The sequence below is a fragment of the Homo sapiens genome, chromosome X, assembly GCF_000001405.40.
Source record: "Homo sapiens chromosome X, GRCh38.p14 Primary Assembly".
Taxonomy (NCBI): Eukaryota; Metazoa; Chordata; class Mammalia; order Primates; family Hominidae; genus Homo; species Homo sapiens.
Window position 1 is genome coordinate 125171814 of NC_000023.11, and position 15955 is coordinate 125187768.

General features: G+C 36.8%; 1 protein-coding gene across 11 annotated transcripts in view; it reads right to left on the bottom strand.

Annotated features, from left to right (window-relative positions):
* Nucleotides 1-15955, bottom strand: part of TENM1 (teneurin transmembrane protein 1) — an 828410-nt gene that overhangs the window by 795911 nt on the left and 16544 nt on the right. For 8 of the 11 annotated variants that reach the window (XM_047441760.1, XM_017029214.3, NM_001163278.2 and 5 more), the window contains exons 2-3: nucleotides 13830-13896; nucleotides 12895-12969 (exon numbers count right to left, since the gene is read on the bottom strand). The gene's annotated coding sequence lies outside the window, so the exon portion shown is untranslated. The remainder of the gene's footprint in view (nucleotides 1-12894; nucleotides 12970-13829; nucleotides 13897-15955) is intronic. The other 3 variants (XM_017029210.3, XM_017029211.3, XM_017029213.3) reach the window with 1 other exon arrangement.

Here is a 15955-nt window from a genome sequence, read left to right on the forward strand (position 1 = left end):
TGAAACAGACTAAGACAGGAAGCCTCAATATACCATAAAAAGAGGCTATCTTTGTTCATACTTCAAGTTCTTTCAACCCAGGTGATAAGTGATTATAATCTAATCCAAATCAATTGATACTTTTACCTACTTTAGAATATAACAGATTCCATGAAGAAAATAGAGGTAAAAGGCATAGTTCCTGTATTCAAGATTCTTGTAATCCAGTTGGAAAGATAATTTTAGTGGACAAGAAAACACTTAGAGAGCTAGATAAAGAGAATTAGACAAGCATAATTATACAGTATAAACATGCTAAATACTGCAATCTGACTATAAAAATGCTGTTAGGACTTTTAAAAATGAGAAAGTCAAGTTGGAATCATGAACCTTGGAATGTTTCACGGGCCTTAAAGAATAGAAAGAGCTTAATACTGCAAAGAACCTGGAAAGAGAGGTGGCCTAAGACTTTACAACATCTCAAAGAATTCTAGAGCATGCAATGAAACTGAGAGATGATTCAACCTCACCCCCCCCCATTTTAAACGAGAAGAAACAAACCCACATAGAGCAATTGACTTGCCCAAGGTCCCACGGTGAATGTGGGCCATCCTGCATTGTTCCTATCACCTCAAGTTGTCTCCCACAGCCTTGCTTAAATTACATAGAAGCTGTTGTTTATTTTCCATTTATGTGGGGGAAGAAGAGCTCAGATGCATAATTTCTCACTAGGAAAAACGTCCTGTTAAAATATTGTCTAGACCAATTTTTTAAAAAAGGAACTGGAAATGTTGGCGGTGTAACCATAAAAACTTGAGTAAATCTACTGCATTTGAAAAACAGCAGAAAATGACTTCTGGAGAGAGGGAGGCGTGAAACTAGAATAACATATCTATTATAGACTTTTGTGTTATAAAGATGTGAGTTACGTCATCATATGTACATGGAATAGGATTTTCCCCGAAATATAGTTAAGCTTATTTTATGAATGAATTATACTCTTTCTTAAAATTGGCTAATGGTTAAAAAAAAATGGCACTGCCCAGCAAATACTACACAAATATTGGCTATTTGAGAAAGAAGTTTCTTCCTTTTTTACATGCTAATTCTTGACATGCAGAACCAATTTTAATTTATATTCTGGAAGCATCTCAACTGCAAGAAACTGAGGGTGCCGACATCTGGCTTGATAAACCACATAGCTGTAAGCAAGCTTATAAATTAAATTATTTAAGTATCCCCATTTAATTTTCAACATCTCTAAGGACAGGATGACAGACTGAAATGTGTCAAACCCAAAGAAACCAGCCTAAGCTCATCTCAAACACAACACTTTAAGTAATTCAATAATATTCCACATTTTATAAACAGACATGAAAACACATTTCACCCTATCAATATAATTTGTGGTGTCCAAGTAGAATCATGTCATGTTATCCCACGAGAAATATAATTTAGTATGAACATAAATTTTTCTTAAAGATTCAATTATTGCCTTAAATATATGGCCATGTGGAAAAATCTCAGCATATTAGGTGCAATCTCCCCAGTTTAATATATTAAAGTGAATGAGGCAAGTCGTCAGGAGACTTTTGTTCTCCTCTTTTGGGACAGCACAGTTGTCACTATCATTGGAGCTTATTCATTAATTCATTCAACATATATTCATTAAATACTACTAGTGCTAAGTATAGTGCTAGGTCCTGGGAATCCATCAGTGTTAAAGCCTACATAGTCTCCATTGCCATGGAGCTTATTGTCTCACCCTCACTAGATAAAATGCCCTGATTGTCCTTTTAAAGCATTGGAACTCATTAATTCTGGATCAATTTCAGTCCCCTTCCCTCTTGTAGCTCATGAAAGACATGTATATAACACTGAGTCTGACAAAAATATATACACCTGAAAAGAATATTGGTATATATCTGGCTACCAAAGAGATGGATGCACACATGCAAGAAAGATAAACTCAAAAAGGCTGGGTTCCAAAAGTGCTCATTGTTGCTGGAGGCAGGAGGTAACCTGCACCTCAATCACAAAACCAAAATACTCTGAATCCCTGCTATGGGCAAGGCCACATACTAAGCTTTAGAGGGCGAATAATGAGTAAGATGTTAAACTGTCTAAAGTAGAGATAAGCTCATGGCAGTGGTACAGAAAATAAAGGATGGAAATAAAGGACATTATGAAGCAATGATGGAACCTAATGACTGGTTAGATATGGAGAGCAAAGTACAAGAAGAAAGAAAAGAAAGCCTCAAGGTTTTAAGCCTCAAGGGTAGCTGGAAGAATGATGGTATCATCAACAGAAACTGGGAAGTTGGACAGGGGATCCAACCTCGGAAATATGATGTGCTCACCGTTAGAAACACAATGAGTTTCAGATATCAGCAGAATATCCAATTGTACATGTGTGGCAAGAGGTTGGAGACATGGGACCATAGTGTAAGAAATATTTTAAAAATTATTTATATAAGAAATAGCAGTTAGAGTTATAAAGGTAGATGAAATCCCCAAGGATAAAAAGGTAGAGGGAGAAAAACAAATAATGGATCTCAAGTACATTCACAGTTTGAGTGTAAGAAATAGAAAATAAGCCAGGAAGAAATGTCCATGTTCTTTACTCAAGGAGGCTTCATGGGAAGTAAACAGCACTGATATCAGACAAAGAGAAATTGGTTCATCTTGGAATGGTGATATGGGTAAGCAAAGGATTAGGGCATATCAGAAAATGGAGTTAAACTGATTCACTATATTGTGGCCCTTTCTACTGCAAAATATATCTACCAGACTCATGTTTTAGTGGGGTCACATTAGAATCCTTTAGTTGAGGTATTCCACAATAAAAACATTCTTTGAGCAGGAGTCTAAAATTCATCTGCCATATCTAAAGGCCCAATCCAAGATTCAGACACCTCAACTTAAGAAGTCCTAAATGTCTAAACAAGAGAAAACAGATCAGATTTAAAGAAACCAGAATTATGCTGTTAACAGTTAGTAACAAATGAAGACTCAAGGGAATAGTAGCTGAATACCCTGAATACTTGCCTTACCACTTACCTACTGTGTAACGTTACTCAAATTACTTTAACTGCCCTTGGCCTCAGTGTTCTAAACTTGCAAATTGGAGATGATAACTGTGCAACCTTCATAAAGTTATTGTGGAAATTAAATGAGATAACACTTTAAAATGAATAGCGTAGTACTTGGCACACAGTAATTGCTCGTAACTTGCTAGATCATACACATGCGCACACACAAGTCAATGAGCAACACACAGAGAAGTCTACATAAGGAAGAGAGTGGCTTGAAAACTGAACTGTCTACTATAATTTAAAATAACAACTATGTCAGTCACCTAAGATTATCTATGTCCTCAAGAGATAAGTGGAAAGAGCAAGGTTAGCAGTTTTTGCTAAAGACCTACTAAGTTTATAAGATTAAAAAACACAAACTCAAGAATGAGATGAGAAAATACAAAATGAAGAAAGCATATTCACCCTTTCAGGAATGAGGCAGAAGAGAAGATTCTCATGTGGTTTGGCAAACTGGAAATTTAATATGAGAAAGTATTATTTTAAAAATATTCCATACACAGTCCTCTTTAAAATTTTAGTCTTATCCAAAAAATATTATTATTAAATAAGTGATATTATGACACCGGAAGTAACTATCAGTGCATGCTATGTGGATACCAAATTATTCGAGAACACTTATTTCTATCATAAAATGACAAGTCATAGAGATGAAAGCAAAATGATAAAATAATCTACTTTGATTTCTATAACAAATTTGACATGAATTCCATGACATTCTCAAAAGCAATGAGAATAAAGGGCTTACACTAGAGTTCAGTAACCTCATTATACTGGAGGACCCCAAGAAGTCTGGAACAATACTAAGGAGGGCCACATAGCAGAAAAAGGAAACAGGAAAAGATGTGTAGAGAAAAAATAAGGGGAGGCGAAAAAGGGGTAGAAGAGGGAAAAAAGCAATACCATGACAAATGTGTCCAGTTACTATTGTAGAGTGCTTAGCACAGTGCCTGGCACAGAGTTAAATGCTGTATATATTTGCTAAATAAAGAATTTGGTATTCATAGTTAAATGCTGTATATATTTGCTAAATAAAGGATTTGGTATTCATAGCGCTAACGACATTACTTGCTTACCCTTTGTGTAGACATTCACATATTTGAAAGCAAAAGCCTAGGGCAAATGATTTCTCAAGGTCCTCTGCAGCTTGGTTATTTCATAGTTCTGTTTTCCATCATTGTAAGAGATTTTACTAGAGGAAAAACACTGATGGTATTGTCAACACATCAGAATTCTGTTTTCTATGTCATCACTTTCCATTTTACCTAAATGTATAATAGGACTATATTTTTCTAACAGCCAGCACTCACTTGGTAGACTTTTTAGAATTTGTGGGCATTATATATTTCATTTGATACTATACACATTAACAACTTGTATTATTCTTTAAAAAGCCCATTCATTTGTAAGATAGCCCTGTCAGTAAGCTCTACTGTAAATCATTTGGTACACAGAACTCTGTGTTCCCATCAGTAATGAAGTAGGCATTTTTATTCAAATGTTAGCAGGATGTTCAACTCCCAGGATAATGATTAAGCGAAGATTTCCTTTTTTATTCTGCAGACAAAGCAGTTACCACACTTACAGTTTAGGCTCTCAGGGACAAAAATCTTAATGGAGGCCAAGATTTTCTCAGACTTTATGGAAATAACCTTTTAAAAAGTTTTCATTCTATGGTCCCTCTCTATGGCAATTCTGATTTCTTTTTCCTGGGGTCAGAACATTCTTGACAGGCTTCCCACTCCCATGGTATTCTTTAATACTATTGTGATTTCCACATTTATCTTTCTAATAAATATTTCATCTGTCTGAAGGCATAATCATTGTGTGTTTACCAAATGACAAAATGACTTACAAAAATGTACTTAACTGAAAACCAGCCTTTCTTAGAATTACTAAAGGATTTTCTTAGAGCTTCTCCCTCCGCCTTTTCAAACTACTGCTCAGCAATAAGATGAATAATAACTTCATGTACTTTTTTATGATTAAAACTATAAACTTGGTGCAAACTGGTACTCAGCTGGCACTCACATTTTCCAGTATGTAGATGTAAGCTTGGATCAGGCATGTACATAAGTGCATCTTTTATTCTGTGTTCATACACCATATACAAAATATTAAAGCATTAATCAGGGTGTTTTTGAACACAGGTGTAAAATTAAACAAAATTAAGAAAGGCATTGAAAATTTGTATTATTGATATTAACTTATTGAAGGTTTACATCATACACCTAAAGGTTTACATATTATAGCCATACCATTTAACTAGGTGAGCATTTTGCAAATAAGACGAGAACAAAACCAGTGATCTATTACACACAGTGACATGCTCAACTATGTCACTTGAAGTGTACATTTTAAAATTAAATTTCATGTGCAGTAGTACAGATGAGTCTGGGACAAAATAAGTAGCTGATGCATTCACAGAAAACAGCTATTTAAAGTCATATGAGTTGAACAGTTTCATCTGACATATGTCAGACATTGAATGAAAACAGGACAATATTTGAAGGTCACCAGCTCAACATCTATACTATAGAAAAGACCCTTGCTACTTCAGATATGGTGCCACAAGGCATGGGATTATATTGTCCCTTTGTACATATTTCAGAATTTTTGTCATTGTTTTTTATTTTTCTTTACCTTTAAAAAAAGTATATATAGTGATTCTCAATATACTTTGGAAATATGTAAAGCTGAAGAAATAGTGATTTCAAATTTATTAAGGTGAAATGGAGGTCTGTGAAAAAGCTGGACTTTGCCTCACCCAAAAGACACATTTCTGCATTCAGCTGTCAAGTTAGCAATATCATGGGGCTGAAATAACACTCCTAAGGAATAACTTCTTCTCAGTGAGATTTCCAAGAAACTACAAGAGCCATTTCTATTAACTCTGATCCCATTTCCTAAGCATCCAATGTTGGACTTTTTGTTGATATACATGGATGCATTTCAGATCATGGCTTATCTATAAACACGTAGCAAAACCCCAAGGTTTTGTTTTTAGTTTTGTAGTTGTTTTTCTTCCATATTTTTTTCTGGCATAAAAGAATAAGTACTAAGGAATGCATCTTATTTTCCTGGAAAGATCGGAGCTAAATGTTACAAGAAACTGAATTGAGTCTACAAGTTAAGGTTCTTTATGAGCCTTGCAGATGGAAGTGTATGGGTGGCTGTCCTATCCACAAATTACAAGTACATAATCAGTCTCTAAGATGAGCAGCCTTCAAAGGAGAATGAATGATACAGTTAAGTGTATCTTTTCAAGGAAGTTTTGGCAGTGAATGACTATAATTGACCATCTTATCATATTTTTGCTCCCCATATTAAGATGATTCTACAGCTTTGTGGAACTGCAAGCTGACAAGTAAATTGATAATTTTAATATGCTAGAATATTTGTAAGGATATACTATGTGCCCAAAATGACTGATTTACCAGTACAACTGCCCCCTTGCAACAAAATCAAGTCTATCAATTTAATCCTTTTTGTTTAGTATTCACTTCTACTGCTCCTCAAAATTCCCTATATTATTCCTCATCTCACCATTGCATGTAGGTACTTTATCTTGTTTTAAGATCTTTCCTTTGCCTACTCTCAACCTTAGAGAGATAGATTCAGTGAAATATCTGACCATTACTGAAATAAGCTACAAAAAAAAAGAAAGAAAAGAAGAAAAAGGTCAATCTGTATGGTACTCTTCTATTTTCCTCTACTTACCCACATGGATATTCTGCCATACTTTGATTTTTCCTTTTTGGTAAGGAAGTAACGTAGAGAAAGCTAGGTCACACGGGTGTTCAAGGGGAATTTTAAAATAAACATGTTTTGGATTCACTGATCTATACTATAAAAAGGATGATTGCCACCTATGAGCAAATTTAACACTCAAAAATCCTTATAGGACTGACAGGAAATATGCACGATAGCTCAATCTAGCCTGGCATGGTGGCTCATGTATATAGTCCCAACCACTCAGGAGGCTGAAGCAGGAGAATTGCTCGAACCCAGGTGTTCAAGGCTGCAGTGAACAATGATTGTGCCATTCACTTCAGCCTGGGTGAAAGCGTGAGACCCCATCTCCTAAAAAAAAAAAATGACCTATATTTTGACTACTCCAGTTTTGCACAAAGAAGAGTTAATATCCAACCTGAAATAAGGAAATGACCTCATTTTAAATTAAAAACGAATAAACAAAAACTAATGCCTAAATTATTTTTTCAGGTTTTCTCACTTAGATGTTCTGTTGGCTCACCAAACTCAACAGGTATAAAATGGAATCCATTATTCTACCCCCTCCCAGAGTTGTACTTTCACTTCCGGAATGTGAATGGCACCAAGGCATATAAATGGGGGTGGACTGGGAGCAAGAGAAGCTAGTAGTACAAAAGTATAGAATCAAGCTGCCCAGAAGAAAGCCTAGGATCTGATCATAAATCTTGTTTAAAGATTTTTAAAGGCCAGGTGCTAATCCTGGTGCTTTTGGGAGGCTGAGGCAGGAGGACGGCTTGGGGCCAGAATTTCAAGACCAGCCTGGGCAACCAAGTGAGACCCCATCTCTACAAAAAAAAAATAATAAAGATTTTTAGCTGCCCTCTCTTGCTAGGGTTATGAACATTTTCTTTTTCAACTCAGCCTAAACTTGCTTTTAGTAATGCTGAATAGTATCACTATCTGACTAGGCTTTCAAGCCAGAAACCTTTCCCTTATGCCCATATCTAATAAGTGACCCATGCCTGTCAGTTCTACATAGCATATCTCAAATCCCATGGTTCTCAAAGTGTAGTGCCTGGACCAGTGGCATCAGCATCCCCTGGGAACTTGTTAGAGAGGCAAAATCTTGGGCCCCACCTCAGACCAACTGAAACAGAAACTCAAATGTAGGATCCAGCAATTTGTTTCTCAACAAGCCTTCCAAGTAATTCTGATGCATACTCAAGTTTGAGAATCACTGTTCAACTCTGTCTCTTCATTGCTATCACCATTGGTAATTGCCATCTGCCCCCATCATCTCTTATCTAGCTTTTAGCAGTAGTCTCCTAACTGGTTTATTGGTCTTCATATTTGATCCCTCCAATCCATCCTCCATACTACCACCTGGGTGGGCCCTCTATATCACAAACATGATTACTGACGTCTTTCTCTAGTTCCTCCTTCCCTAGAGCAGTGACTTTTTTTTTTTTTTTTTTTAAAAAAAGAATTCCGGCCCGGTCCCCCGGGGGGAATTGAATGGGTGAAATTTGGGCCCATGGAAACCCCCCCCCCCGGCCCCCAGGGTTTCCCCGGCCCCACCCCCCAAATTAGTGGGAATAACGGGTGCCCCCCCCCCCCCCGGGAAATTTTTTTTTTTTTTGTATTTTTAGTAGAGACGGAGTTTCACCATGTTGGCCAGGCTGCTTTTCAACCCCTGACCTCAAGTAATCCACGTGCCTTGGCCTCCCAAAGTGATAGGATTACAAGCGTGAGCCACCGTGCTTGGCTGAGTGGTGACTTTTAAACCATGTTCCACCAGGTGTGGTGGGTCATGCTTGTAATCCCAGCAATTTTGGGAGGCCAAAGCAGAAGGATCACTTGAGGAGTTGAGACCATCGTGGGCAACACAGTGAGACCCTATCTCTAAAAAAATAATAATAAATAAAAATAAAAAATATATATTTATGTAAATAAAATCATCAGTGTTCCTAGGTGGCTGTTTCAGGAGTTGCCCTTAAGCAAGAAAGAGGTTCAGAGGGCAATAAACCAAACTTCAAATTTCACAAGCAACATTAGAAAACCACTGGCCTACAGGAAAAAAGGAGATCCACCTTAGTAGGATACAGGCTAAGGAAATCCATCTATATCTGTCTCCAGCATACTTCTCTATGCTTATCTCTTCTCATGCTTACATTCCACATGACCCTCTACCTGTAAAGACTGATTGCAGTTTCCCTAAGAGACCAGGGTATTTGATATTTCTCTGCCACTTATTCTTTTGCTTAGAACATATTCTCATCCCTACCATTTGTTCATCTGACAATACCAAATTACCATTCCCTATTCCCCAGCAGTCCACACTCACATGCCTGGTCCTAGTATTACCGGCATTACCTCCTCCACGAAGCGTTTCCAGATATCTGCTTCTCATTCCCCCCTACCAGATGAAATTGTTTGCCCATCCTTTGTGCTCTTACTATAGCAAGAATAGTGGCAGAAGTAATAGCTAATATTTATCGAGCATACACTATGTTATATGCCAGGCATTGTGCAAGGTGTTTTATGAATTATTTGCATGCCATTTTCAACATCACAACTCTGTGAGGTATAATTATTATTCTCATCTTAGAGGTTAGGAGATTGAGATTTAGAGAGATTATTCTTAATCTACTTGCCCAAGCTGTACAGTCAATATGTGGCCGAATTGGATCTTCTCTTGGTTTTAAACCCCAAAGCATATGCACTTACCCTCTACTACAGAATTAAAGAGGACACACTCAAGCTACAGCATTTTTAAAAAGGAAGAAAAGGAGAAGAGAGGAGAGAAATCATTCTGGGTTGCAAACAAACGTATCTGAGGACTGGCCCTGAGCAATCGGCCACTAGCTTGAAACTTCAATTTCACACTCTACTTAATACCCAACACCTAGATTGTCATGAAACCCATGCCAGGGTAACTTGTTAGGATATTAGTGCCTATATCATTCTTCCTGCTGCGGGTGTCCCATGAAAGAAAAAAAGATAATTTTTTACTTCTCACTTATCAACAAACCTTGTATCCTAGGTATCAATGTGGAGGGATATGGGACAAGGGGATAGGAGGAGGGAGCACAAGTGGTCCACAGAAGGAGAGGGAAGGAGGACTGAATTCTCTCTGAAATTGGGAGTGGCAGTGATAGAATTGCCAGGTTTTTCAGGGACCTCACAAATCGCTGTAGTTCTGATGGAGGGACCTGATATGGATATCTAGAAAAAATGGTCACTAGGTAAATAACCCTGTGCACCAATTTCAGCATGAAGAATGCCTTTCAGTAATCATGATCAACAACTAGAGACTACTCCTTACATTTTCCGTACTGAGTAAACCTCAGTGTACTAGTTTGCCATTGCTGTTGTAATAAATTACCACAAAATTGACAGCATAAAACAACACAGACTTATCTTAGAGATCCAGGGGTCAGAAGCCTGAAGTGGGTCTTGATAGGTTAAAATCAGGGTATCGGCATGGCTGAATTCTTTCCTGGAGGCTCTAGGAAAGAATCAGTGTTCTTGACTTTTCCACTTTCTAGAGGCCATCCACCTTCCTTGGCTCATGGCCCCTTCCTCCATTTTCAAAGCCAGTAAAATCAGGCCAAGTTCTTCTCATGGGCCCATCTCTCTGTTTTTCTCTCTTTTGTTCTTTTCTTCCACTTTTAAAGATGCTTGTAGTTACATTGGGCCCACAGAGATAACCAGGATAATCTCCCTATTTTAAGGTCAGCCGATTAGTAACCTTAATTCCATTTGCAATCTTAATTCCTCTTTGTCATGTTCACATGACATGCCATATTCACAGGTTTCAGAGATTAGGACACAGACATCTTTTCGGCGGGCGGGGGGGGGGGCATTTTTCCCACCATAACCAATGATTACTGCAGATTTGAGTGGAGAGCTATTTTAGATTACACACATCATTGCCTTACTCAGTAGGTTTTGATATATGAATCTTTTAAACTTATTTTAAAAATGCCATGAGCAAGTAAATTCATAGAAACTCCATACCTACAACACTTGATTATTTTATTTCTCTGTGTATAGCACAGTCCCCAACTCTCTACTATGAGCTTATGAGTAAGGACTATGTTCCATATTACTTTTTGTTTCCCCAGCACCTAGCACCATGCCTGGCACACTGTAGAGACTTATAAATGTTTGTCACAGTAATAAATAAATAAAAAGTGCTTCTTCTGGAAAAGAACATTTGTAGAGTTGTATTTGTAACTTAGTTCAGAGCTGTACATATCTTGAAAAATGAATCTACTGCTAAAAAAGAGGGGAAAAAGCTGAACATACACTATTTAAAAATCAATTTAAAATAGATGTCAGAGGCATTTTTTATTATTTCTAAATTAGATCATTCATCAGTGGAATGCAGAGCAAAAGAAAGGGAACTGCTCCCCTAAACCAAATGAATTCTTTCTTATATCTCATTTCAAATCAATAAGGTGAAAGTCTCTTCTAAAATATTATGATTCATGAACTTCATTTACTGCTCATTCTTTTGGTTTCATCAGAATAGCCATGTTAATATAGTACTAGAATTGTTGATATTTTATTGCATTGCCACATCTCATTATTATGTATTAAATGCTATTATTTATGGTCACTACTTAATCTGACGTGAGACAGAAAAATTACTGAAGGCTCGGCACCTCAGAAGTAGGCATTTTATAGGGACAAAGAACTGACTAGGAAGAGTCAATGGTCCTTCAGCTGCCCCTCAGATCATTAACTCCAAGTGGTTATTTGTTCTCAGGCACTGTCTTGTGCCCAAGTTGTTACTGCTGTGATATGTAGATGAAGGAGAATATATTTTAAATGTTTTAATATGAACTCAATGCTCATGAAAGGTGCCAGATTGAAAGCATTGGAGTCTGAAGTCATCAGGTTACGCACTTGGATGGTTTCAAGGTACAGAGAGATGCTTGACCTCGAACGACCATCATGCAAGAAGGTGAAAACATAGTTTGCTGAACTCCAACAGACTGGCAGAGAAGAAGCACAGCAGCATCCCAAAGTGAAGCATTTTTATCAAGGAAGAAGACTCAAGACTACTAGCTAAACTTCAGCTTGAAACTATTTATTATAACGCCAGTACTAGTACGCATGGAGTGAGTGAGTGATAGTGGCATTAGAATACACAATTGCTTTAAATCAAGGAAAAATATACTATTACCAACTCACTAAACCACTTAACAAGGAGCAATCTTTTAAATGGTGTGTGTATTCCAATTTAATTGCTAATCTTGATTCCGTATTGCATATCTGAGAACAGCCCTGAATTTTCTAAAAATCATACAATGTTTGAACAGAAAGACAGTTGGAGTTGTTCAGCCCAAAGTTTTTATAATAGACTTGAGAAAACCAATGCTCAGAGTGAAGAAGTGACCTGATGAGAAACGTATTACTAATATAAGACTGAGAGTAGAGCCCAGGCTTCCTGATTGACAAACAAGGGCTTTTCTACTATGTCATGTTGTCTTTCTAAAAGAGGGAAACTAGCTGCTCTCTGAAACTTTTAAATATTTAGTGCCAATTATTTTTATAAGTGTGCATTCTTTGGGTCTGTCAGGCATTTTCCTCTCCATTCTGATCCATTCATTCACATTAGCTTAGTAAGACTAACATTTTCCACACATTTAAACTTTCCTAGTGTGAAAAATACTTTGCAATTAGTATTGCACAACTGGCAGACTCATAATTACCAAATTAAAAAAATTATTTTCACAAATGACATTATATGCAAAATCTCGACTTACTTTTTAAGTAAGTTTATCTTTTAATGTCATTTTATTTTCTGATCTTACATTTTTTTTCCTATAGTAATCTGAACTTTTTGGCAATAGTATTCCCTTAAAGACAGTACCTCTGAAAGAAAGGCTAATAGAACTACATGTATAGTCAAAACTGACAAATACGTTTTAAATTTCTGATACAGACTAATATCCAATAATTGGAGCCCAATTAAGGAAACCCTTAATGAGATATTTGTGTTATATTTTTAGAAGGGCAATGCAAATTCTGAGAGTTTGCAGATTTCTTTTTTACATACTCTTAAAGAAAGTATCAAGTGATGCCAAAGACTTACCACAAATTCAGATCATCCTTTTGACTTTTTTACAGCTTGAAATGAGAATTCACATTTGAGTAATGATGCATAGCACTGCAAGATATAGGTAGCAAAGGGAAAAAAAATCAATGCTTTCTGTGCCTTAGTTACTAAGGACTGAACATTGACCAATATTTTAATAAAAATTAAAACCAATGAGGGAGATCCTTCATCTTGCCACATTTTCTCACGTAGTCCACCTAACAGTGGACTGACTATAGAGAAGCAAACACTCTCAAAGCTCCATTTGAATTATACCTACATTGGCACATTTACCACGAAAAAAGGCACAATAACTTTTGCCCCAAAGTTGCTCAATACCTGTTTATTGGACATATATAGATAGATAGATGGGTAGATGAAGAGAGGGTAGAACGGAAGGGTAAACAAATGAATGCAATACCTGTGTAAATACAAATATTTTACATGAGACTTTACTAAAGAATCAAAACATTCATTTCAGGAGGCAAATATTTATGCCAGTAAAATTTTCTAAATGGAATTATCTGTTCCATTGATATGGAGAAATATTTATTTGTAGTCAGTAAGAACTACTAAATAGTTTTGCAAACATCTTCTCTGGCTACTGCTGTTCCTACACACTCTGCAGATGTTCCCATTAGTTAAGAAGACTCCTGATTTGAGTAGCTGTATGTGGAAAAGGTCACAGAATTATTCAGACATGTAAGACAGCCTGCATATTTGTTTTTGCAAAGACTAAAAATTATGAGGTACAGACACAAGCTTATCTATAAAATGGACAAATAGACTTTAAAAATTTTAAAACAATGCATTTCATTTACATGACATGCAATAAATACAACTGACTATATCACCAAAACATTCCATTCTTTTCACATTATGTAGCTATGTGTTCAATTCTCAAAGTAAAATTCAGTGTAAAATGCACATACCTTGATAGGTCCAGAAGTTATGGGAATCAAAAAGGAGACAGCGGAATAAAGGTCACCCTTGTAATTCCTGTAAACAAATTAGGCCAAATTATCCTTCAAACATATGTGCATGCAAATCCAAAGCAGTCCTTATATGAACGAATGGAAGAGATACATGTGGGGTAGGGTTGGAAGTGGAGATGAGGGTTGTGAATATAAGAACATTCATTGTGCAATTCACAAGAGATAAAGGGGTCCGCTTTTTAAAAGGTCTACTTGAAATTTCAACTGATTATATTAAGTATGCTGCTAACAAAGAATTTCTTAATTATAGAAGAGTATACCTGGAGGAGTATGAAATTCTCACCCATTCCACATAGACTCTCTCAACTGAACACTATTCAATTTCCTTTTTTTTTCAATTTTCACTCAACATACCAGTCATTTTGAGATGAAATGCCCACAATTTCAAAGTTTCCACTAGTGTAAACAATTTATAATAGTCCTAATTTCTTACATTAAAATTGTCCTTTACAATTTATAAAAAAAATCATATATGTATTTCATCTATTTCTCAAACAACTCTGTTATAAGATTAGGAAACTAAGGCCCAGAGAGATTAAATGGCTTTTTCAAACTCACATATGTGGTTAGTGGCAGAGCCAGGATTAGAATTCATGTCCCCTCACTTTTGGTTCAGTCCTTTTACCAACGTCCCACATGGCATCTTTTATTCAACAGGTATAAAACTGACTATAAAATGTGTCTCCACTATGGTTTGGATATGGTTGGTTTCGCCCTGCCACAAGTCACATATTGAGATTTGATCCTTAGTGCTGGAGGTGGGGCCTGGTACGAGGTGTTTAGATCATGGGAGTAGATCCTTCATGAATAGCGTGGTGCCCTTATCATGCAAGTAAGTTCTCACTCTTAGTTCCCATGAGAAATGCTGGTTGAAAAAAAAAAAAGCCTGGCACACACTCTCTCTCTCTCTCTCTCATCATTTAATCTCTGAATATGCTGGCTCCCCTTCACCTTCTGACATGATTGGAAGCTTCCTGAGTCTTCACCAGAAGTGGATTCTGTTGCCATGTTTCTTTAAAGCCTGCAGAACTGTGACCCAAATAAACCTCCTTTCTTTATAAATTACACAGCTTCAGGCATTCCTTTATGGCATGACGAATAGACTAAGACAGTCTCCCATGTGCCATGCTTGGTGCTAAGGAAGGAGCTGTGCTATTATATAATGATCCCTACTAATTTACTCCACTTGAGAGATACACTTCTTCCTCTGATTTATATATACCCAGTATGAAGTCACCTGGATTTTTAACATATGAACTTTTAAAAAGTCATTCATGGCAGGTGTGGTGGCTCACGCCTGTAATCCCAATGCTTTGAGAGGCTGAGGCGGGTGGATCACGAGGTCAGGAGTTCAAGACCAGCCTGGCCAAGATGGTGAAACCCGGTCTCTATTAAAAAGACAAAAATTAGCCAGGCATGGTGGTGGGTGCCTGTAACCCCAGCTACTCAGGAGGCTAAGGCAAAGAATTGCTTGAATCAGGGAGGCGGAGGTTGCAGTGAGCTGAGATTGCGCTGTTGCACGCCAGCCTGGGCGACGGGGCAAGACTCTGTCTCAAAAACAAAAGAGAAAAAAGTCATTTATTAGTAATGTAAAATTGGTGCAATATTTATGGAGGGCAACTTTTCAGTAGGTACCAAAACCCTTAAAAATATGTCCTCCTTGTGATCAAGTTATTTTACATTTAAACATTTCAAAAGGAGTTATCAGAGATATATACAGAGAGGTATGTATAAGAATTTTTCATGATGTTTTTATAGTAATAAATATTGGAAATTTCCTAAATATCCAATAATTGGAGTCTGGTTAAATAAATCAAGGATTTATTTATGTGATGGATTACTAAGCAGCCATTAAACATAATATGGGAACTGTTAGATGTTAATGATCACTTCATATAATTTCTATGTATATCTTTAATTTGCTGCTTCTAAGTGACATTCTGGAAGAGATGGGGGAAAGGGGACTACACATTTTTCTTTTCATTTTTTGGTGTTTTCTTTCAACTCTGTTTCTCTTTGTCTCTGTCTCTCTCTCTCTTTCTGTGTGTAGGTCTGTGTGTTTA